At 41.6% G+C, this 25,992-nt stretch overlaps 2 protein-coding genes across 3 annotated transcripts in view; one reads left to right on the forward strand and one right to left on the reverse strand.

Moving 5' to 3' along the window:
• CACNA2D3 (calcium voltage-gated channel auxiliary subunit alpha2delta 3) overlaps nucleotides 1-25,992 on the forward strand; it is a 952,006-nt gene that overhangs the window by 778,957 nt on the left and 147,057 nt on the right. The gene's annotated exons all lie outside the window — the stretch shown is intronic.
• The window catches only part of LRTM1 (leucine rich repeat transmembrane protein 1), a 48,872-nt gene continuing 39,602 nt past the window's right edge, over nucleotides 16,723-25,992 (reverse strand). For both annotated transcript variants that reach the window (NM_001304389.2, NM_020678.4), the window contains exons 2-3: nucleotides 23,111-23,707; nucleotides 16,723-17,384 (exon numbers count right to left, since the gene is read on the reverse strand). In NM_001304389.2, the coding sequence (NP_001291318.1) occupies nucleotides 16,951-17,384; nucleotides 23,111-23,486 (810 nt within the window). In that variant the 5' untranslated portion in view covers nucleotides 23,487-23,707 and the 3' untranslated portion in view covers nucleotides 16,723-16,950. The remainder of the gene's footprint in view (nucleotides 17,385-23,110; nucleotides 23,708-25,992) is intronic.

Here is a 25,992-nt window from a genome sequence, read left to right on the forward strand (position 1 = left end):
TGCCAGTCTATTGTCGAGTTGCATCGCTGGCCATAGACCACAGGCAGGTCACGAGACACAGTTTGGTCCACCCTGAGTGGGTGGAGAAGGCACCCTCCTATTTACTGCTTCTCTGTGTATGCCAAATGGCCCCCATTTTCAGAAGATAATTACAGAGCAAGGCCAAGAAGCAAGGTCATTTAAAGAACCGTATTTAGTCCTTACCTTTTAGAATTGGTGACTGTTACCCTTTTTCAAACTTTGGTAGACGTAAGATAAAACAGAATTGCTTGGTTTTGATGTTGAAGACTGCTGTGGATGCAGCCCCACGAAGGCAGTGACCTCAAGAAGACCTCTCTGTCTCCAAAAATAGAGCGGCCTCTTCAGCACCCCCTCCCCAAGTTTTCCTGACTCTGACTCAACCATCATATCACTGTGTGATTAGGTTTGGTAACTTTCCTCTGTGTATTTTCCTCAAATTAAGTAGACACTGTTTACCACTCTAAAATTAAAAAGGCCATTTTAATTGGGGAAGAAGCCTTGTTTTGGCAGATGAAGATGAATATGTGAGCAGGCTTTTCTCCCATCAGTGTGCCCCAACAGCAGATGGGAGACAGCCGACTGGCAGGAATGTTAGGTCTCAATGAAATCCTTGTGTTAAAGTGGAACTCTTCTGAAAGAAGAGGTGTACAACTATGCAAATAATTATCAAGGACTCCTTGGAAAGGCCAGCTTCGCTCCCAGGCCTGACCTGGTCATCTCATGTTCATTGGCTATATATGTCTGGGGTAGAAAGAGGTTTTTTTGTTTCATTTTCTTGTTTTTTGTTTTATTCTCTTCTTTCTCTTTTGTGTGTTTTCTTTTTTAAACAAAAACATTTAGATACTCATCTGTCAATGACACCTTTGAAGAAAGGCCAGTCAGACTGGGCAAGATTCCATTTGTACGCCAGCCTTGGTGCATAAATGGGCCCCATCCATCTTCCCGGCCTATGACATTGCTTACAGTCCTTCTCTTGAGAAGCCTGCCAACTCTCCAGCTGCCACCAGTGTGCTGCATTTTCTTAATTGCTTTCCCACTGCACAGGAAGAAGTGGTGGGACTCTCCCTTTGGCCTACCAAGTCTCATCCTAGCCCTGGAACCTTCTGTTGTGTCAGGTCCCTCATCCATTGCATTGTTGTCACTGGAAATGCAGATCTTGGACTGTAAGGTCCACGCAGTTTGTCATTCACTCTATAACTTGCTAAATGTGTGGTCTTGGGTCTCTAAAGTTCTATCTAAAATAGGCTTGGGATTATTACCTCCCTTGCCTTCCTGTGTGTCAATTCAGGGATAAAATGAGAAAACAAACAAGAAAATTCTTGGATAAGAGAGAAGAATAAAAATGCTAGAGTTTAGCATAACCCGTTTTTATCTAAAAGTTGGTGGCATATTCATTCATTCAATAAATAAATATTTCCTGAGCCTCTGCTTTTGCCAGGCACTCTAGCTATAAATAAATAATAACCAGTGTCTTAATCCATTTTGTTTTGTTATAACAGAATACCACAGAATGAGTAATTTTTTTTTATTTAACTTTATTTTAAGTTCAGGGGTACACGTGCACGTTTGTTACATAGGTAAACTGTGTTATGGGGGCTTGTTGTACAGATTATTTTATTGCACAGGTATTAAGCCTGGTACCCATTAGTTATTTTTCCTGATCCTCTCCCTCCTCCCACCCTCCACCCTCCATTAGGTCCTAGTGTGTGTTGTTCCCCTCTCTGTGTCCATGTGTTCTCATCATTTAGCTCCCACGTATAAGTGAGAACATGCGGTATTTGGTTTTCTGTTCCTGCATTAGTTTGCTAAGGATAATGGCCTGCAATTCCATCTGTGTTCCTGCAAAGGACCTGATCTCATTCTTTTTTTATGGCTGCATAGTATTCCATGGTGTATATGTACCACATTTTCTTTATCCAGTCTATCATTGATGGGCATTTAGGTTGATTCCATGTCTTTGCTATTGTGAATAGTGCTGCAGAAAACATACACTTGGATGTGTCTTTATGATAGAATGATTTATATTCCTTCGGGTATATACCCAGAAATGGGATTGCTGAGTAGGATGGTAGTTCTGTTTCCAGCTCTTTAAGGAATCGCAACACTGTTTTCTACAATGGCTGAACTAATTTACACTCCCACCAACAGTGTATAAGCACTCCTTTTTCTCTCCAACTTCACCAGCATCTGTTATTTTTTGACTTTTTAATAATAGCCATTCTGACTGGTGTGAGATGATATCTCATTGTGGTTTTGATTTGCATTTATCTAATGATCAGTGATGTTGAGCTTTTTTTCATATGCTTGTGAGCTGCATGTATGTCTTCTTCTGAGAAGTGTCTATTCATGTCCTTTGCCCACTTTTTAATGGGGCTATTTGTTTTCTCTTGTAAATTTGTTTAAGTTCCTTATAGATACTGGACATTAGACTTTTATCAGATGCTTAGTTTGCAAAAATTTTCTCCCACAGAATGGGTAATTTATACAGAAAATAAATTTATTTCTTACAGTTCTGCAGGCTGCAAACCCCAAGATCCAGGTGCCCACATCTGGCAAGAGCCTTCGTGCTGTGTCATGTTATGACAGAGGGCAGAAGGTAGAAGGGCAAGAGAGCACACACAAGAGAAGAGAAAGGGCAAAACCTATTTTGCCTTAACTTACTTATTGTTGACTTGAGTTTTATAAATTACGCTGATCGTGGTGGTGATTCTTTACTTTGTTCTCCCTGGAGAGACCTGGCCCACTAGTCCAGCAGTCATAGGCACCGCATCTACCATATCAGGGTAGAAATGACCTGGTACAAAGAAATACAGGGAGGCAGAATTGAAGCAAGATGGAAGGTGTGGCCCTGCAGGAGACTTCTTCCCCTCCTCAAATCGTCTGTCTGACTTCCCTGTTTATCTTCTAGACCCTCCCTCTGACAAATACAAGATACTCAATCCCAATATTTGTTAACAATTTCAGACTTCTAGAGATGTGTAAAATATTAAATAATGAAATCTGAATTATGTGCACTTGCTTTAAAGTGTACCTTTTAACATACCAAAATCTAAAATTGCTCCTAAAAATGTTTCATTTTGATTTCTTAGATAGTTTTGAACTCTTTAAGGGCAAAGACCCAATTATCTTTTTATTCCCAGTGCCAAGTACAAGGGCTAACATACGGTCCATATGGGAGCGATACTGGATAAATACATGATTCAAGGAAGACGGGCTTCATTTTCACCTTCTTTATGTAGGTACATATTTATTGACCAGATAGTGGAAACATAGTACTTGACTAAAACTCTAAGACAGATAATCACTCAGTAGCTAAAACTCCAGTCCATACTATAGTAATATGATATTGATCAATATGAATATTTTAAGGAATAGAAAATTGTTTTGTGTCCCATCCCAAAAGCAACCTTGTTGGACCAGTAGTTATCTCTGCATCAGTAGATGTCTTTTCTGAGGTCCGGGCATCTAAGGTGATGCTTAGAATAGCTAATCTGATCACATCAGCAGATAAAAAGGAGTATAGACACCAGAGACATTGGTTTCTTATAGAAACTGCTCTTTTTAAACAGCTTTATTGAGGTAGGATTTATATATCTTTTTAAATTATAAAATTCAATGAATTTTAGTAAGTTTGGGAGTTGATTTGCAAGAAACACAGAACACTTTAGATCTGTTACTGGAGAAATTTGAAAATGTGGGTTATGTGGTCTCATTTGCATAACTCAGGGCAGTGTAATGAAGGGGAAGATCCCATTTAACCAGCTAATTAGGAAAGGGATTGATTAACATCAGTGATCATTAACTGTTGCCAAGTATGTGGTATTTAATCTGAATGCAGTATTTACTATGGGCCCTTCATTAGAGTTAGGTGAATAATGCTGGCAAAATGTTCTAGGCAAAAATTTAACTTGTGAACATTCCTTTGGTGGGATCTCACATATTTGGTATGTAGGAGTTAACTAGTATGTCAGAAAGTGTGTATCAAGTCTGCCTGGATAAACCTCTAGTTTTTAAAATCTGAGCAAAGGAACTGTTTTATTTTGGCAAAAATGAAAACTTACTGATTAAACCAGTAGTTTCCAACCGGGGGTGATTTTGCCACCAGGGGACATTTGGCACCATCAAAAAACATTTCTGATTGGCACTACTGGTTAGGAGGATGCTACTGGCATCTAGTGGGTAGAGGTCAGGAATGGTGCTAAACATCTTGCAAAGCGCAGGACAGCCTCCACAACAAAGAATTATGTGGTTCACATGTCAGTAGTGCTGAGATTGAGAACTGTTGGGTTAAACTGACAGGTAAACTTCAACTCAGTGCTTTCAAATTCAGTGTTTTTCCTTATAGACTAACAATCTTGATTCATTTCTTTATTTTTAATTAACTCATTCAATAAATATATATATTGCACCTACAGTGTTCCTAGCGCTGGGGATACAGCTGTGAACAAGTACCCCAGAAGGCACTGTGGAGGGTGTCAGGCGATTGTCAATTGATGACAAGGGCACTGTTGGCATCGATGTCCAGAGACTGAGATGACAGCTTCCCAATGAAGAATTGTTCCACACAAATGCTGCAGCAACCTCTGAGAATGCTGAGCATGGCCAAGTTGCTGCCAATGGAGAGCTTCCATTTGTGTGGCAGATACACACAAGTATTGCAGGAATGAGAGACAGGAAGGGAAGGAAGGGAAGAAGTGAAAGGGAGGGAGGGAGGAAGAAGGAAGGAAGGAAGGATTGATTTCTAGTAGTGGTAAATACTCTCTAGAAATGGAGTAGGATTAAGAGATGAAATGTGGTTGGCAGTGGCAAAGGGGAGAGGAAGTGCGCAGCCATGTGCACATGGGTATGTGGTGGGGCAATGCCTTTCCAGGTTGGGGGTGGTTTGAGAAGGCCTCCCTGATGAGGTGACATGAATGGAGGTCTGAATCATGAGACGCAGTCTGCAGTCATCATGCAAAGATATACAGGAAGAGTATATCCCATATACAATGGGAACTAATGCCTCCAGTAACCTGCAATGAGATTCCTCATCCATGTGTCCATATTCCACGTGGGTGCTGTGAGACCTGAATGAGTCTCTTGGGTTTTGGGGGTAGTTACCAGGTTCTACAACCAGAGCTGATGAGTAGGTGGGTAGCTGACCCAGGGAAAGTGGGCAACCCAAGGCAAGTCTTTGCTCTGAATGTCAACTATGAGATGGGACTTTTTATATGTTTGACATTTTTATTAAGCTAACAAATGAGTACTATGCAGGGACAGAAGCAGGTCTAAGCCAGTAGGACTGACAACAGCAAACTTTATAGAAATGGGTTAGTGATGTAGCTATAGGTCACACTTTATTTAAAGTCTACAGCAGAGTTTGAGAGTGAGAGCTGGACATTAGAGCAGCTGCTCTGCATACCACACAGTAGCCAGTGACAAGGGCATGTTGAGGATTATTGCCCCAGGAATAAAAATAGCCCAGAGTTTTGAGAAACTGGATCCTCTGTGCTCACTCTCCAGGACACTTGCTCCCAAGAGTTACTGTCCCTTTCTAAACTCCTCAAAAGCCCCAACGCGCCCTCCACTCAAAAATGAGCAGCAGAATTTTGGGGTGACACATCCTCTTACCTGCTTGTGTGTTCTAAATCAGCAAGTTAAGCCACTTCTTTTAGAGGTCATGGTGGGATGTGGACATAAAAGACAGTGTGAACTGAGTATTTATGAGTGAGCACAGGCCATCCCCTTCCCCAGGCCTCACCCCTGTGCCTTCCTTTTCACATGTGTAAGAGGAGGTTGTTTGGTGCAGAGGTTGGATCTCTAACAGCCTCATTTTTAAAAGGTGGACATTTATTTTACCACCAGAGAAAAGGGAAGGAATTAACCAATACTGGAATATGTCTTAGACCCAGATTCAGTCTTGCGTTTGGGGGAGTGTCTGATTCCTGTTGAGAGAAATAAGTTTTTATGTATATAAAGTTTTTGGTAAATGCTTACATCTGGGTGGGTAATAATCATTAGCTGCTAAATTATTATTGTCGCCCTCTTCATTAAGAATTACCATATGTTACGCCCACTGCTGCTCACTAGTCAGTGCTGTTTCCTGTATTATGTTATTTTTTCTGAAAACTTGCATATCAGAAGATTATATTAATAATATCTTGATATGTTTTGTATTAAAACTTTGAAACTCACACTTTCACATACCTGTGCCTCAGAGCTGAGGTTCGCAAACTACAGCTCTAGGAAACCACTCGTGTGCTTTCTCTATGGATTTGTCTATTTTTGGACATTCCAGATAAATGGAATCATGTAATATGTGCCCTTTTGTGACAAGCTTCCTTCATTTAACATAATGTTTTTATGATCCATCTACATTGTAGCCTGTATCAGTACTTCATTTTTAAATTGCCATATAATATTCCCTTGTATGGATAGACAACATTTAGCACATCCATTCATAAGTTGATGGATGCTTTTTTAGCTGTTAGTAATGTTGATATGAGCATCCATGTACATGTTTTTGTGCAGACCTATGTTTTTATAGTCTCTTGGGTACATACCTAAAAGTAGAATTGTTGGGTCATATGGTAACTCTGTTTGGTATTTGGAAGAACTGCAAAACTGTTTTCCAAAGTGGCTGCACCATTTTACAACACCACCAGCAACATATGAACATTCCAATTTTTCTACATCCTTTCTAATACTGTCTGTCTTTTTTATTTTAGCCATCCTAGTGGGTGTGAAGTGATTTCTATTTCCCTAATGACTTAGCATCTTTTCGTGTGCTTACTTGCCATTTGTATATTTTCTTTAGAGAAAGGTCTATTCAGATCCTTTGCCCATATTTAAATTAAATTAGGTTGTCTTCATATTGTTGAGCTGTAAGAGTTGTTCATATATTCTGGATATAAATACCTTGTCAGGCCGGGTGTGGTGGCTCATGCCTGTAATCCCAATGCTTTGGGAGGCTGAGTCAGGTAGATTGCTTGAACCTAGGAGTTCAAGACCAGCCTGGGCAACATGGTGAAACACCACCTCTACAAAAAAATACAGAAATTAGCTGGGCAGGCTGGCAGGCACCTGTAGTCCCAGTTATTCAGGAGGCTGAGGTGGGAGGATAGCTTGAGCCAGGAAGGTCAAGGCTGCAGTGAGCCGAGATCATGCCATTGTGCTCCAGCCTGGGTGACAGAGTGAGACCCTGTCTCAAAACAAAAGAGAAAAAGCAAAAAATCTTGTGAGCTCTCCACTGCCTGTTTTTGTAGAAAAAGTTGTATTGAAATGCAGCCATGCCCATATTGTCTGTGAATACCTTCTTGCTAAAATGGCAGAGCTGAGTAGATGGAGGGGTAGAGACCATAGAAACTGCAAAGCCAAAAATATCCACTACCTGCTCCTTCACAGAAAAAGCTTGCCAAACCCAACTTCACATGAAAATATGTCACATATTCTATTTAAAAGAACAACGAAAAAGGCTGATTTGTTCACTCACCTATTTAAACATGTTTCTATAAAAATGAAGTAGATATTTAAATCAGAGGTTATGTAAGTGGATGCCGAAGACAGAGCTTTGTGTATCAGAGGTTGTGCATCGGTAGTGCCTAATGTTTTTGTCTGTGTGGTTACACAGAAATTCCAATCAAAGATCCTAAGCTTTCTAAAAATATATGTTTTCATTGTAAGTCAAGACAGTGATTTAGTTAATCTTCACTCTAGCTTATAAATCTCTGAACAGTGCAATCAGCATAATGCTTGGTAGAACATTGAAAATGCCCTCACATGCTTTGGTGGAAAACAGTTTATGGGATTTTTTTTTTTTTCCAACATGGCTCATGAGAGATTTGGGGATTTATTTAACCGCCTTTATCCAGGCAAATCTCCTAGTGACCTTGTTGGGATTTTGATCTCAGTTAAGACTAGAATATATGTGACTCATGCTAAGTAAAGGGCCCACAGAGGATAGATGAGCTGACATGAATTTCCCTCCCTTGGGAAAAAAGGGACGGGCATGAGCAGAATCTGCAGCAGAAGAGTCCAAGCTTGTCCAACCTGCAGCCCATGGGCTGTGCAGCTTCAAATGCAGCTCAACACAAATTCATAAACTTTCTTAAAACATTATGAGATTTTTTTTGTGATTTTTTTTTTTTTTTTTTTTTAGCTCATCAGCTATCATTAGTGTTAATATATTTTGTGTGCAACACAGGTGGAGAACCCTGGGGCCCTGCAACATTTACAAGTCAGGGAGATGAGTGAATCAGCAAATGAGACCTAGGAGGGTTGGACAGTGAGGTCGGCTAAGAACCAAGTAAAGGGAGACTTCAAGGAGAAAGTGATCAGCGTGGTGAAGAAGACAATTCTTCTTCTTCCAGTGTGGCCCACGGAAGCCAAAAGATTGGACATCCCTGCCTAAACCCTTTGACTTGACTGAAAGTCCAGTACATGGACTTTCTTGCCTGAGGAAAATGCTTTGATCAGTGTCTGGTGGGAAAGGGACAGTGCTGATCAAAGGCTTTTTATTCCCAATGTCTCCCAAAGTTTGCACTTACCAAGAACTCCTGGGTTCTCTTCTGGGTGAGAAGATGTGCAGGATGTTAGGATCAATGCCTGAATGTCATGGTCACCTCAAGGCCAAAGTACACAATTATACATGACACAGCTCAGGCAGATGGTAGTAGGTAATTGTCTTTCAAAATAAAATTTCAGAATGAAAACATCGTGTATGGTCATAGTATATGCTTTACCATTCTTCCACCAACTTCCAGATTTTATGATATAGTCAGGTTTTTAAGTCAAAAGTATTCTGTTACATTATTTTATTTGTGTGATGCATTACTCATTCTTTTATGCTATATGCTCCTCTGCCTTGCTGTTTTCCATTTTCTCTGGAACCCACTCCACAATGAAATATTCCTCATGAAGGTCACCAGTAATTTCAGTAACTTCCATTGTTCTTTTGTCGTGGCCTATTAGCAGTGCTTCACCATGTTGATCACTTTCTCCTTGAAGTTTCCCTTTACTTGGTTCTTAGCTGACCTCACTGTCCAACCCTCCTAGGTCTCGTTTGCTGATTCACTCATCTCCCTAACTAGTAAATGTTGGAGGGCCCCAGGGTTCTCCACCTGTGCTCCTATTTACTCTCAAGGCTTTGAACACTGTTCATAAACTGGTGATTCCCAAGCCACACTTCTCTTACTTGACCTTACTTGCCTATTCAGTGTCTCTACTCTTTCCCCAATAGGCCTGTCAAATTCATTAGATGCCAGGCTGAAGTCCTGATTGCATTCACACCCTCCCCCTCCACCCTTTCTCCATAGCCTTGATAATTTAAAATCCAACTCAATAATTCTCATTTTCTAGTTAGTCCAAAACCTTTGGAGTGATTCATTTATTTTTTTAAACAAAGCATGTCATCTTGGATAATATTGAATGTACTCAAAAGTAGACAGAAAAAAATACAATGAAATTCCACGTATCTTGTGCCCAATCCCAGTAGCCATCAACCCTTGGCCACTGTGTCCTTCAATTTGCCAATCCACAACCACCCCTCCCATATTATTTTAAATCAAATCTTAGTCATTACATCGTTTCATTCATAAATACGTCAGCCTACATCTTTAAAAGATAAGGACTTCTTTGGATTTTAATATAGCAATACAATTACCTAAAAATAATTCCTAAATCTATTACCTAGTCAGAATGTAAATTCTAGTTGTCTCAAAAGTGTCATTTATTTTTTACAATTTGTTTGAATCAGGATCTTCTTCCTCTTCTTCTTTTTCTCTTCTTCCTCTTCCTCCCCTTCCCCCTCCCCGCTTCTCCTCCTCCCCCTCCTTCTTTGTCGTCTTTTTTTTTTTTTTTTTTTTTTAAAGAGATGGGGGTCACACGTTTTTCCCCAGACTGGTCTTGAACTCCTGGGCTCGAGTGATCCTCCTGCCTCAGCCTCATGAGCAGCTGGAACTACAGGCATGTACCCCTGTGCCTGGCTTTGAATCAGGATCTGGAAGTCATTCTTGACTCTTTCCTTTTCCTCCTACCTACAACCAATCTGCCTATAAATCCTGTTATTTCTTTCAGTTATGTACAGAGTCTGACCACTTCTCAGCACTTCCACTGTTCCCTCAGTGGGCCGCTCCACTTTCATCTCTGCCCTGGATTGTCATAGAAGCAGCAGCTTCTACCGCTTCCCCTGTCTTCTCCCAACCTTCACCTCTTCATTTTATTCTTCATATGAGCCACAGAAATCATGTTAAAGATAAGTAATATCATGTCACTCTTCTATCCAAAACTCTCTATTGACTTCCCACTTTACTCAGAGCTAAAAGCCAAAATTCTCACAGAGGTCCAGGTATTAGTTATCTTATGCCAAAGCTTAATGCCTTAAAGCTACAGACATTGTAGCTACAGACATTTACTATTGTACAGTACCTGTGAGTCAGGACTCTGGGTGCAGCTTAGCTGAGTCCTCTGGCTCAGGATCTTCCATGAGGCTGAAATGAAAGTGTTGTTGAGGGTTGCGGACTCATCTGAAGGCTCAACAGAGGAAATGCTTTCACCGTCACTCATGAGATCATTAGCAGGATTCAGTTAGCTCCTTGTGGTTTGTTGGCCAGAGACCTCTCTTACCTCCTTGCCACATAGGCTTCTCCGTAGGGTAGCTCATAGTGAGCTAGTTTACTTTGAATAGGACAAGCAAGAGAGAGTGAGCAAGATAGAAGCTGGAGTTTTTTGTAACTTAATCTTGGAATGGATATCTTATTACTTTTCCCATATTCTGTTTGTTTGAAGCGAGTCACTAGGTCCAGCCCACAGTCAAGGAGAGAGCATGAGTTCCAGGAGGCAAGAATCATTGAGAGTTATCCTAAAAGCACCTGCCACAACCTGTAAGTCCTACATGATTTGACCCCTATTACCCTCTAATCTCAGCTCCTTCTACTTCCCTTTTGCCCACTCAACCACAGCCACACTACCTCCTTGTTCTTCAGTCACACCAACCTTGCTGCTACCTCAGGGCCTTTGCACCTGCCATGCCTTTTCCATGGGACATTTTTCCTCCAGATACCTTCACCACTGGTTCCATCATTTCCTTCAGGTCTCTCCTCAAATATTTTCTCAGCAGGGACCTTCCTTATCACCACATGTAAAATAAAAACTCTTCCTCTTCCATATCCCCAGCGTTCTCTCCTCTTCACATCTGCTTGTTCACCACCTGATATGATTTGTATTTCTTTATCTTCTCCCTCTGCTAGATGTTAAGTTTCATGGGACAGATATTTTATATTTCTTGTTCACTCCTTTAGCCTTAATACTTGGAAAAGGAGAACATCCTCCTATATGCCACATTGTAGACGGTCTTCATCTTTAATGAATGAAGACAGTGGGGTCTCAATGGGAGGTATTGTAGAAGTTAAATGTCCTCAGATACCCTACATACAGGACAGCATGATTCCTCTCTGATTTGTTTTTAAACTCAGGGTCTCAGTGGAAGGCATATCAGCATAGGATGGGCTGTACAGACTATTGCTCTCGTCCTTGACACCCCACTCATCTGTTTCAAGGTCACACCTCTGCTCTGTTTTGTTTTGTGTTGTTTTTTTGAGATAGGATCTCACTCGGTCACTCAGACTGGAGTGCAGTGACTGGAATGAATCACTGCAGCCTTGATCTCCTGAACTCAAGCAATCCTCCCTCCTCAGGCTCCTGTGTAGCTGGGATCATAGGCATGTGCCACCACATCTAATTAATTTTTGCATTTTTTGTAGAAACGGGATTTTACCATGTTGCCAAGGCTGCACTTCTGCTTTAGATAGTAGATATTCCTCCTGGAGACTTAGCTATCCTTGAGCAGTATTCCTAATTTCCGTGGCCCTCGTAACTTTCTCCTCTTCTGTGTATTAATGAGTATTTCAATGGGAAATACTTATTGGCTAGCATCTTAATCTAGACTCTAAATTTCCCATTTTTCTCAAATAATTTCAAGAGAGTATGACTGAGTTTCTTCCCCTCTCATTTGGAGACTGCCTTTTCCAGCCCAGTAGAGCCATAGATTATGAAAGGGTTCTTATTTCCCCATTTTGCCTTGGCTCCTTCAGCCGGCCTCCTGGTTTTAGTAGTACCAGAGCTCTGGCAGTGTCCTACTGGTTGGTGGTTGGGTTTCTTTGCCCTGCCATGCTTTAAGGTAAGTGTTGGCAGTGCCAGGAAAGGATCCTAACTCTGACTTCTTCGAACCTGTCAGGTCCTGAAAAGTGCCTGGGTGTTGGCCTTGGGAAGAGTTGCATCCAGATTCCCACTCCACCATTTACTAGTGGTGTGACGTTGAGCAAATGACCTAAGCTGTCTGTGTCTTCGTATGTAATGTGGCAGTACAATACCCACGTGTTTTGGTTACTATGAGGCTTAGAGAAAATTAAGTATTATGCTTGGAAAATACATGGCACGAAATTGGGTGCTCAGTAAATGCTGATAATGGTGTTGTAATTGCCCTTATCCAAATACTTAGTATAATAATGTCATAGTTTTGATATTGTGATTCACCACTAAATGAACAAAGAATGGTGAGGATCGTGTTGTGTTATCTATGCTAACCCCATCTCCTGCAACTGCATTTATAAGTCTGCAGTTAATTCTGTGCATGACTTGTGTAATGTTGCTTTCCTTTCCATGCTTCCATTTCTTCTGTAAAATAAGGACATGGAACTATATCAGAGTAACAAATAGGTTTAATCTCTTATGTCAACTCCAGTTGATCAGTAATGGATACCTGGAAAACAGATTAAAAAAAAAAATTATGAGGCCTTGTCTGGGCTCAGCAGATAACTTTGTCATGATCTATTAGCAATGTCTGCAATGGATAGAAAGGCTGGTGGCAGCTATTCTGAAATTCTCCAGGCCTGGACTAAATGCTCTCTAAGACCCTTCTCAGATCCCCAGTCCTCTGATTTGTTATCAAGGTCGTCTTGATGGGCCTTTGTAGCTGGCTGACATCCTATCCTGTCCACCCAAATGAATATTCAGTGTGATTGGAGTAAAACGTAGATATGAGTAGTCCAGTTAAGAATCTGAAAGGGATTATATATCAGTAAAAATAAATAAAAATTAAAATAAAAAAGAATCTGAAAGGGAAGTGGTTGATTAGGCAGCTGCTTCTCTGAATGGGGTAGGGGTTTCTTTGAGACTGCATTGCAATTTGAGTCTAAAAAATAAAGCATTTTAATCAAAAGAGCAAAAGGATGGTTCCCTAAAGTCATGCATGCAGATCATAGCCCAGCAATGCCATGTGGAGTTGGAATATAATTTTGTGTGGGTTTCTGTCAATAGCATTTAGCAATGGATACAGGGATGGGTTTTCCCAAACTGGAAACAGTAATTTCCTGACCTGCAATAGAAAGTTATAGGTTTCTAACGGTTGTTGGATAATTATGTGAATGTGTGCTACAGATAGATTATTTTAGAAATTAGTTTAACCACTTCCTTTGATATTTAGGATCTAAGATAAAGGTGTCTTGTTTCAGGGGTACTTGGTTAACTCAAGCAAGGAGATTTGATTTGCACAGACCTTCAGGAAGAAATCTGTGTGTGCATCACTTTTTAGTCTTGCCATTTTTATAAGGAAAAATGAAACCCTTAGTAATCCACTGGCATTTTATAATCTTAAGCAAAAGATTCTTCCTGTGGGGTCAGGGATATTTGCCTTATTTGTAAAAGCTTTTCAGATATAAAGTTGATTCTAGGTCTTCCTTCTCCAAAATCTCTATGGCAGAGTACATTCTTCATGCCCCCTTTTTTTATGCCTCACTACAGACAGCTACAATATCTGTGAATTTATGATCCCTGGCAAGGCAAAAATCACCCGTCTGTAGCCATACTGTTCTACTAAATATGACGAAAGAACTATATTTTTAGTTTTCTCAGAAACAATCAACACTAAACGTGATTTTTGTCCACAGTGTACCCTCAGCAAGGCTTCTATGACAGAAGGACATTTTTATAAGGGAATCTATGAATATGACAGCAGCAATAAACAGCTGAAAATAATCTATGAGGCGTTTGCAAATTACCCCTCATGAGCTGTAGTGGTTGTGAAAGATAATTTGTGGTTCTCACAGAATACCCTGCAAATTGGGTCTTTCATCTGCAATGTTTTTTACAGTTAAAACATTTCATTTCTCATATTAACAAATGATAACTCTGCATTTGTTAATGTAAACAATTTGATTTATATTTTTTTCTGTGCTGAGAAGCTGTTGACATTTCAGGGTAAGTAATTATTTTCATTGCCAACTGCTGTTTGTGGTGACTGTAGGCAAAAGATAGAAATCTGAATATAAGTATGCATCATTTTAATCATTTTCCTTAAAGACTGCCCATAAAGCAGGAAGTCTGTTTGCCTGAGTTATCATCTGTACTTAGAAATCTAAAAGGATATAAGTGTTGACAAGCAAGGATTCTAGTCACGTTCAGGGTTTTCTGTGGTGGATCAGAAACTCCCTCATGTAATCTCTGTGGGTAGGGGGACTGGGTTGACCTCCACTGTCACCAAACCTCTGGCAGGGCCCAGTGCACTTGCTGACTGAAATCACTGCATTAAAACGAAGCATGCGTTATTGACCTCAGTAGCTCTCAGCTAATGTAATATCCGTTCAAGTGGCTCATGGGGTGGGTGTCAGGATTACACAAGAACGCCTTGCACTGTGTCTGGTACACGGTACACGGTGTGAGCTCTGGAAACATTTGGTGAAACTGGGACAAGGTATAAAAACGTATAATTCCTTTCTCACACTGCCTTCTTGGCCAAGCATCCTCAGTCCAGGGCCATGGAAAGAAAGGTTTTTTCACTTGGAAAGTAGTCACTACGTCCATAAAGAAGGATATTGAGCCATGTCCACTGAGTGGCCCATGGAGAGGAGGTGCCAGGGCCTGGGACAGAGCTGATGGGTCAGCAGGCTTTCCTTGGGGTCTTTCTTTGATCTACAATTTAAGGTATTTCAGTTTCTTTCGATATTCAGAAAAAAATTACCATCGAAATTTAAACTTTGTCCCCTAGAAAAATCATCTAGCAAAATTGCTGCTCCAGAAAGGTGGTCCATCTTTAGCCTCTGGGTGTGTGGGGCCCACACTAGCTATGAAGCACCATGGCAGGTGTAGATTGTCTCTGTGATTATTAGAGGTGCATCCGTGTGAGACCTGCACAGTAGGAAGTGATAGGTTCACCCGTTTCCCTGCATCTATCCCATACACATGTGAACCTTCCATTCACATTTCAGTTAGAGAATGGACTACTGATTTAGGATCCAAACCAATCATTACATGGCCTGAAGGAGTGAATGTAGAGCCAGTACCCTGAGTAGCAAATGTGTTTTATCCTTTGAACCAACTCCAGTTGATTAGTTCTGGTTGCCTACAGTGCTGTCTTAAGGCATCTGTGGTGCTGAGCTAGGAAGAGTGCTGAGATTGATTAGCAATGTCTGTCATGGCCTCTGGAGGGACAGCTGGCCCTATATTTGCCATTCTCTGCTTTTAACATGTCCATAACTTCTCTGTCCTCTCTTCTTGTGTAAAATGATTTTAATACTAACAGGTGACTGTGAGCATCATGAGAGAGAACAGGTAGATTCCACTTTAAGAAAACCTAGCATGAGAAAATGCAAAATTTACAAAATGCATAAATCTGGAGCCAATTATTTCTATTACAGAAAGATTCCATGAAAGGTTCCTTTAAATAGCCAGCTCCCCTACTGCATTAAAATGATGATTCAATTTACAAAAATTCACTTTGCATGCAACTCTTCAAGACCATGTCTGTGGAGTAAAGCCAGCCACACCTGATTTTTTAAAACCATGGCCTAAATAACATTGAGGATAGCTGCCGCCACCTATCTTGAGTCTCTTGGTAATTCCCACTCTCTGCAGTCTTCCTTCTTACTCCTATCCCAGTGTGGGGAGTAGACAATCTGGGTGGTGGACAACAGCTGCTGGCTTCCACCCTGACACGGCTGCATTTCATTAGTGGGTAAACTGATTGCTCAGAGTATGTTTATGTGTGGGTGTGGTTGTACAACTCTATGCACTCTGTGCGCTATGTATGCAGATACAGATACACAAAAGTCATTATCTCGCTCTCAGCCCAACCTAAATTCATTCCTGCTGTAAGAGTTATAAATGGAAGGTTCCAATCCCTTGGTGGATATGGCCTTTTGGTAATATCTGCCCCAAATTCTGGCTCCCCATCCTCTTTGTGTTTGTTTATATGTTATTTACCCTTGCATCAGAAAACTTCCCCAGACTCAGGGCCTGAGTCCTATTATCCGGACATGGAATCTTCTTCTTCCTCTGAGGCCTAGAAAGCCCCAAATGGTTTTCTGATTTAGAAAATGAAATAGACTTTGACTCTTGTGGCAAGCTATGAAATTCCCAACCAACAGCTTCCACTAAATTTATAACATATACAACATCTAAAAGTATCACTGATCTAGCATGAACTCGAATTATAGAGGCATTCAATGCCCATCGGGTAAGATCACCAGCCTCTTCCCAAGCACTCAAAATTGGGCAGTTTTCCAGTGGACCATAAAGCTCCCAGGAATGCTGATTGGCATGTGTGTTTGAATTTCTGGTGCTTTGTAAAAGGAACTTAATCCACAGAAGAGTACCTGGAAGAGATGGCATCTTCCCTTTCTCTGTGTGTGTCTTACCCCCACATAGAATCGTCGTAATAACTTCCCAGGCCCAGAGCACAAGTATCATCTTTATTTTACCTATAGTATTTTAAAAATCGCAACATAAATTCCTCCCCAGAAATATTTTTTACAGACACATCTTTTTTTTTTCTTTTTTTTTTTTTTTTTTTTTTTGTCTTTTGGCAAAAGCAAAATCAGACTAACAGGAAACACATCAGCCCTACTCAGACACTATCTTCTGGCCTGCAATGACCAATCCTATTTGAGACAAAAGCTCTCAGGCTGGTGAGCTGTCAAATCGCTCTTTTTCTTCCACCTTCCCAGGATCATTGGTTTGAGCCAAGGGTCCCCCATGGTACTGGGCTGTGATTGCCGCATAGGTGCAGCCATAGATGGCAGCTGCCAACATCATGAGACACACAATCCCACACACAACGCCAGTGATGATGACAGTGGCAATGGCATGACGCAGGTTGGCCGGCCTTGGCTTGGGTTTGAGCTCGCACTCCAAGAGTTCTCGCTCCCCCGCGTTGTGGTTCTCAGGAGGCCTCAGGACCACACCGTGGGCAGAGCCGGGCCACTGAGCCTGCGAGGACACTGGATCAGGAGCAGGAAGAGGGCAGGGCTGGTACAGCTCATGAGGGATCCTAAGGAGGTCCTTTCCCTTCCAGGTGTCTGGTGATTCACAGATGATGCCGTCTGTTAGTCCCCCTTTAAAAAACAAAAGCAAAGAACAATAACAAAGCCTTGATACAACAGAGTTCCAAAATCCTCTGCCTGCAAAAACTTAGGCAGATGGAATTTATGAAGTACCTTTTTTTTTTTTAAATCCTGGAGTCAAAGAATTTAACAACCATATTTTATGATTTTAGGATTCCTAAATTGGCTAAATACTAAAAATGCCACACACTAAATTGGCAATTACTTATGACCAAGAATTCATTAGAAGCCCAGTAACCTTCATGTTCTCTAAATGCTCAGAGAAAACAATGCAAAAGCTGACAAGAAGGCACGCTGGGGGCCGATGGTGAGGGCACAGCTGCCCACTGCATTCGTGCCACGCATGGTCCTAGTGAGCCCCACAGACAAGAAAACTTTTGTACCAGATTCCCATTGAAAATCTAAGGAAAAAATAAAATAAATGTGCATTGTTGTGATGTTATGTGTTTATTACAAAGATCCTGTGTGTCTCAACACTGTTCAGTGATGCCAAATGGAGAGGTGGAATGGTCTTGGAGTGATCTGTGGATTTGACAATACTGGAAGTTTAGTTCCTGGAATTCGGTACCATGAATGTGTCTCCTCAGGCCTCAGAACATTTACGGCTTTGAATACTGAACTTTCCAGTGGGTTATTAAACCCAGTTTCCATTACCTGTAAGGTGATTGATATCCTCAGGTGTGTAGACTGCTGTTGGTCGGGGGAATTTGGGTGGTCGGTCATTCTTTCCTAGAGAGAGCCCTGAGCTAGCAGACTGAAGTCTAGTCTAGTGTGACCACTGATTTACTCTTTGACTTTGGGAAAATGTGCTTCGCTGACTTAATTTTCTGCCATGAAAACATGCTATTTGTATCCAACTTGATGGTTTACAAAGCACTGTTAGATAAGTCCTAATACTCCACTCTTGTAGGTAACTCTTGTCCAGACTCACAGAGGTCACGAGTGGATGAAACAACATCCAAACCCAGTTCTCCATGCTCAGTCCAAGTTTTTTCCACTACACTCGCTGCCTCGCCACATCCTCCTCTCAGGAGCGTTGTGAGGTCAGAGGAGTGGGCAGGATGGCCCTCGGCACTGTCTGCTAGGAAGCCTTTTGATTGGACAGAACTGCCCCATGACCTGCACCTTGGCCCTCTCAGGCTGCCATAAGCACCTCCCCTAGGCCAGCCGAAAAGACTGGCACTGCAGTTAGCAAAGTTAGATTGGAGGAGATTCTTAGTACACACAGTAAGTGAATTAGGAAATTATACCAGAAAGACATATGTAGAGGGCATCACTTCAACATTATTAGCACCCTCCATTGCATGGCACTTCAGAGTTTTAGGAATGCTTTCACATTTACTCTCTCTAAGCTTACTACAAGATAAGTCATAAGTGGCCCTGTAAGTAGATAGGGCCTATCTTGCAGTGCAAGGATTATCAGGTGGCCCCAACACACCAGGGTGAGTGGCAGTGGCAAAATTCAACCCATGTCCTTTTTGTTGCCACTGCTTAAAACTGAATCACCCACCACCAGAGTGTCTTGGGTTCCTCCTGGCTTCTCTAGCAATCCTTTGAGGAAACAGTCCTCACCCTAAAGCAGAAAGATAAAAGGGGAATTTCTTCCTTTTTTGAGCCACTGATTTTCCTGAGGCCAGAGGTTCAGAGCAGCTGCTCCAGATGAGTTCAAAGTGCCATTGAGATTAAGGATTCTTGCCTCATGGACCATTTCATTCCTCTGCACCTGACCATAGGAGCCTCTGCCAGGAAGTTGGTTGCAAGACAAAAAGGTCAGAGAGACAGAAATGAAGTGATGGGGCTTTGAGAAGTAGTCGTGATATTTAATCCAGCCAGAGAGCATGGAGACTTCTATCAGGGGAAGCAAGACCACCTGCCAGGGGGATGGACAGGTTCATCAGCTGACTTCCACCTTGACTAGGGTGGTTTACCCAATCACCCCAGACTTAAGAACTGTGTTTCTCCAGTTCCAGACTTTCTGTTGTTCGGTATTAAGGTGGGAGCCACAGCCTCTGGACCCAGAGCCAAGGAAATACCCAGACTGGAGCCTGGGACATAGCTGGAAGGCAGGGGCTATGGCTGCCAAATGCTCTGTGGTCTCCTGTGCAGGTGATCCTCAGCCGGGATGCAACTCCCACTCTCCACCATTTCATGGGCCATGACCCCCTCGTCAAATCTGCTGATTACAGCTTGAGGGTCCCACATCCTTCTAGATTAATGTAACTGACAATGCAAGAAGCTCCAGCTTGCCAAGCACTCATTGTTCTCTATCTGATCACTAGTAGCTCTTCACCTCTGTCTTGGGAGAAACTAGATTCAAATCTTGAGTCTGAACATTACGTAGCTGTGCAGCCGTGAAAAACTCCCTTGACCACGTTGTGCCTCTGCTTGCTCATCTGGAAAGTGGGAGATGAGGATAATTAAAATTCACTTCCCAAGATTGCTCTGAGGACTCAGTTGGATAAAATATATCAAGTATTTAGCATAATACCTAGCTCAGAGTAAATGTTTAGTGAAGTGAAGATGACTTGTTTACTAGTAAATAGAGAGAAATATTAATCATACAATCTGTGTGCATATTTCTTTGGAGGAGATATTATTATGTATTCACCAAAGCACATCTTTTTGCTCTTAGGCCAGCAGGAAGACTAAATTTTCCCACTTTTTGTGGTCTATTTGAGGCCATGTGATTGAATTCTGGACAATGGAATTCAATTAATTGAATTAATTAATGCCACCTCCAGGCCATAAAGCCCCCGTGTAATCCGCCATGCATTTTGTTCCCACTTGGGGATGACCTTAGAGGCCACGTGATAAACTTGGCGACATCACAAGCTCGAGGGGTCTTATGTCCCTAAATGACTGCATGGAATGCAGACCATGCCCCCATTTCCTTTGAACTCTGCCATGAATGAGCAACAGATTTTATTGCATATATAACTAAAGTCTGGGCTAGTCTGTTATGTCGGTTAGCCTGCCCTAATACCTGTAGTGTTTGCATTTGTTTATATATCTTTTTTTAAAAGAAGATCTTGACTCATATCTGTTCCCTTATTTTGCCTGTATTCAATATATCTATAATCAGACTGTCTCCCATGTTTGACACATATTTGGATTTTTCCTAGTTATGTTGGGACATCCAGGTCTTATTACCCCAAATCAATTTCTGCCTTCCTCCGAAGAAAAGCTGTGATCTGTACTCATGCAGCTCTGTTGTGACGGCGTGTTGAAATGCGTCACAGAATCTGAGGACTGGAATGGGCCGTAGGAACTCCCTGACTTAAAACTATCAGTTTCCCTCTGGTGACACTGAGTGCTAGGGAAGTGTACTAATTTTCCCAAAGACCACCAGCAAGTTTGTGGCAGAGTAGGGCACATTTCATCCCATCCCAGGTTGCTTCCAGTGCCCTAGTCCTGGGAACTTTTTTTTTTTTTTTTTAATCAAGAAATGTTCTTTAATGAAAACTATCTTTCTGTGTTGGCTGGCCTGTGCTTACAATTTAATCCACAATACAATAGTTCAAGCCACTTTACCTGTAGACGTAAACAATTTTATTTGTAACCTCTTATAAGGAAGATGTTGCCATAGTATGTGGCTCCTGTTGCTGGTTGGCTTGAATGTCGACTGGATATTGATTATGTAATTTACTATTACATTGTTGAGAAGGATTTATTCAATATCGTACGTTTTAACCCATGTTGTATTCACCCTAACCTCATTCCCGCTGAGAACCGCTACAACCATGCAGACACTGTTGACTTCCCTAATTCATGTCTGTAGCTCCAACATCTTCCTGAGCTTCGGGCTTAAATATACAACCTCCAACTCAACGACTCCCCATGGATATGTACAGAACATCTCAAACTTGACATGCCCCAAGCTGAAGTCCTAATTGACCACCTCCCCAACACACTCACTCACTCCCCCCAGTCCCCTCTTTGCCCCTTGTCAGCTGAAGGCATCACCATTTACTTGATTACCACTGCAGGACAAATCAAAATAGACTTTCCCATAATTATGGTCTTCTCTTAGTCATCCACTCCAACCCATTAGCAATGTCTGCCAGTTCAGTATTCCAAGTATCTCCCAGCATTGATCATGTCTCACCACCCTGGTTTGGGCCACCATCATCTTCGCTGGCTGACTGAAATCATCTTCTCCCTCATCTCCCTGGTTCTTCTTCTGCAGCCTTTCGTCAGTTCTCCCAAGAGTCTACAGAGTGACCTTTTACATTGTAATCAGATCCTATTGTTCCCTTGACTAAAACTCTTCAAGAGCTTTCCATCTCACTTAAAGTCCAAGCATCTTGGCCTTCTCTGCACACTTCTGCATGATCTGACCCCCAAGTACTGGTGTTGTCTTGTCTGTGTCTACTCACTCCCTTCCTCTGCACTGGCCACTGTCTTGTCCCTCTTTTTGTCCTGCAGCCAAGCCAAGTTTTCCCCCTCATCAAGCCCTTTGCGTTCACTATTCCTTCCCCCAGTTATCTCATGGCTCATTCCTCCTCAGTCTTTGGGTTCTGCTCAGCCATGTCACCTCCTTGGAGACATCTTCCCATCCATCCTATCAAAAATGAGACCCACATTCTATCACTCTCCCCTTCCCCTGCCTCATTGTTTCTTAGCACTAACTGCTATTCTAAACATGTATCTTTATTTATCATCTTATTTAACATCTGTTTCTACTACCAGAATGGAATCTCTGTGATGGTTAGGCACTGCCATCTTCTCAGTGCCTGGCATACAAAAGGCACTCAAATATAGAAATGAATGAATCATGCTGAGAGCTAGGAAGAGTGAAGCACTGTGAAGTGGAGGAAAGAATGTCGGGTCAAGACCCAAAAGCCATGCCTTCTGTTCTCACCTGGGCTTCTGCTCTGTGATCTTGGGCAAGTCACTGAACCTCTCTGGGACTCTGTTGCCCATTGACAACAGGGGTTGGCAAACTTTTCTGTAAAGGGCCAGATAGACAATACAGCCCCTGTCACAACTACTCTGCTTTTATAGTGCAAAGCAACCACTCACTCATTATATAATGAATGGGCATGGCTGTGTTCCAATAAAACTTTATTTACAGAAACGGGAGATGGGCTGTGGCCCTGGGGCTGTAGTTTGCTAACCCTGGGTGGTTTCCAGAGTCCCTCATCTTTAATAGTCTGAGATCTCTTGCTTTGCTGTTGTCATCATGTTAAAGAAATTGTGAGTAACTTTAGAGAGAGGCCCTGTTGCACCCAATTTCAGTGACATTGGTGTTTGCTAAAGCAGAAAGGACAATTTTAGAAAAGAATTACAGTTGTCAAATGGGTAGAAGCAGACAAAGAGAGAAAAATATCCCAGAGAGAGATAACCATACCCACAATTGGATCAGACTTGATAATAAGAGGTTGGTGTTATTTGGGGTTGAGCAGTTATTCAGGTGGTGATTGAATGTCCTCCTTCTTAATAGCATACTCCCAGATAAGTAACTTCTTGTTATATTAATTAAACAAGTGAAAGTTATCTCCATGCAACATATTTGTAGATTAATTTCGAACCTGAATTTAAACACCTTCTAATGACTCACTTGACTCTTTTGCCATACCGTGAAATGGCACCGATGTGTAAAAGCCCAAATCCACCCCTTACACACTCCTCCACATTCTTTCTAATGCAGAGAACAGATGAGATTCATCCTAGGCTGGTAACACACAGATGGGGGGTTCCAAATAGACATGACTGACCTTTATAGACAAATTTCTCCAGCCAGAGTTTAAGACCGAGCAAGTGGCAATTGCATTTCCAGAGGTTGTCCTTGAGAAGTAAAAGCCTCACACTGGGCATGGATTCCAGGAGCGCTCGATCAAGCTGCTGAAGCTGGTTTTGTTGAACCGCAAGTATAGTTAGGTTCTCCCAAGTCTCTCCCAAGGATGTGGGAAGGTGGCTTATGTTGTTTGATGACAAATCAAGCTCCCTCAGCTGAGGGAGGGAATGGAAAAGTCTGCTTTCCAGGGAAAGGAGTGAATTCTGGGTTAGATTTAAAACCTGCAAGTGCTGAAGCCCATGGAAAGCTCCAGGGGCCAGATTTGAAAGGGAATTGTTGGACAAGTTTAAGGTCATGAGCCATGGCACTGACCTAAATGCAAAAGCAGGAAGATGGTGTATCTGATTATCTTGTAAATGCAGCGTTCGAGTCTGAGGAGGTAAATGGGAAGGGATTTCGGCCAGACCCTGCTGGCTGCAGTCTACAAAATTTGTAGATGACTGACAGTAACACTTGTCCGGGCAGCTGCATACCACCTGGAGCAGGACAATCACACTGGAAAACAGGAGCAGTTCACCTACAACAAACAGAAAGAAATTGGGATAGGAACCAGTTTGTGAGGTGTGGTATCAGCACTTTTCCGCCTTTGAATTTACAGGTAATGTGCTTTCCAGCCAGGTGAAACCTTCTACAACCTGCAAGAGAGGTTCTGTCACTCACCGTCTTTAGTAGAGCCAGGCTGGTCAGAGTACATCCCCAGTGTCATTACCTTCTGCAGTCTTTGTGCCACCTATCGTCTGAAGCCTTGAGAAAGATACTCTCAGTGTCTTCTGATTCGGAAGATGGAAGACTTAGTGATATCAAATAGAAGGGTGAAAAAAAATATTTGGGGTGTATATGCCGTTTGTAGGCCACAACAGAATTATTTGGGGCCAGATGTGTAAAAGAGTGTTAGAGGATTTCAGATACTTACATTTCTGTAAAGTATGCTGCAGAACAGTGCTGTCTAATACAACTTTCTGTGATGATAGAAGTGTCCTACATCTGCTTTCCAGTATGGGAGCCAATAGCCATGTGTGGCTACCGAGCTCTTGAGATGCAACTACTGCAACCAAGGAACTGAATTTTTATTTGTATTTCATTTTAACTATTTTAAACAACAGTAGCCACATGTGGCTAATGGTTACTGTATTGGATAGGGCAGATCTAAAGCGCTGCTACGTATTGATATCCATTTTTGCCGTTGTAATTCCATGAACAAGGATAGTGTCTGCTGCTTTTTTATTCAAGATTATAAAAATATGGAAAAGCATTAAGAATAGTATAATAAATACCCATTTTCTATAATAGTTCTGCAAGTCCTTCATGGGTTATTGTACTTCCTTGATTCTTTTTTCTTTCAACTCAGAAGAGCAATGCATTACTTATGCAGTTGAACTTACTTTGATTCATGCCCAATTTCTATTTTCCAGCATAAGCCCTTTTCCTCACACCATTACTGATGTATCCCTCCAGACATTTTAAAAACAATCATTAGTAATGACAAAAATCTCAAATAAACATATAGCATGCATTTTGAGCCACCTACCATTCTAAGTGCTTTATAAATATGTATATTAATTAATCCTCATAACCTTGTAAATATGGTTCCATTATTATCCCCATTTGAAAGATGAGGAAGCTAGGCACAGAAAAGCTGAATCACTTGCCCAAGTTCACACAGAGTATTATAGTAGAGCTGTGATAAGGACCAAGGCTGTCTTCCTCCCTCCAGAGTCTGTCAGAGTTCTTATCTACTGTGCTCCACTTTTCCTCCCTCCAGAGTCTGTCAGAGTTCTTATCTACTGTGCTCCACTGCCTGTCAAATACACACACACACACACACACACACACACACACACACACACACACACACTCTGTTTTACATAACACTTTTTAAAAATCCAGATAAATGTAATCATCAATATGTCTCATTCTGCAATTTGCTCTGTTCACTGAAAACTGATCTATCCACATGGATACGTGGAAAGCTAATTCATTCCTTTTAACTGTTGTAGCATATTCCATGGTGAGAGCATGCCACATTTAGTATTAATATTTACCCCCACTCTTATGAGGGGTAGTTGAACGGTTGCAGTTTTTTTCTTCATTCTAAATGATGCTGTAAAACAGCATCCTTGTTCAGACTGCCTTGGCTGTGCAGGAACTGGGAGAGGGTCTCTGGAATCCAGAGAAATCTTCTCACAGGGCTCAGAGAGGAGATTAAGTTCACATTTTCTTAGATACTGCTCTGTCATTCACCAAAGTAGCTGTAACACTCCCTTCTTTTTTTTTGAGACTTGAATTTCAAAATATGACAAACATCTGCCAAGGGCATTTTACTATAAAGTGGTAGAGGAATTCATGAGCCACACAGTAATATCCAAAACTCAAAATAGTTATCTACTCAAAGTGGAAGCTCTTGAAAGGGGCTTTGTTTGATTGATTGTTTGCTTGCTTGCTTGTTTTGGGCCTTAACTAGGGAAATACACAGCATGGCTGTCATGCACTTGAGCCTTTTCCCCTTTCTTCCTTAAATTCTCTACTGAGGCTAACAGTGCTCTAGGGCAATAGGGAAGATGTTTAGAGAGCCTTCTGAAAGAGAGTCTTCTCAGTTTAATTTAGTTTAAGGGATGCAGAACATCACAGTCCCCTTCCCCTTTCCAGAATATCAAAGAGCAAAACCACTGTTTTCCTTTCTATAATTTTGCAAATAATCTAAATGACTCCTTTCAAAGCCAAAACATCTTCCCCTCAGTAATGAACGGACACCCCTCATTTTTAGCTGTGGGGCTCAAGCATTAATTAGTTGCAGGAAATTAA

Source organism: Homo sapiens, chromosome 3, assembly GCF_000001405.40.
Source record: "Homo sapiens chromosome 3, GRCh38.p14 Primary Assembly".
Classification (NCBI taxonomy): domain Eukaryota; kingdom Metazoa; phylum Chordata; class Mammalia; order Primates; family Hominidae; genus Homo; species Homo sapiens.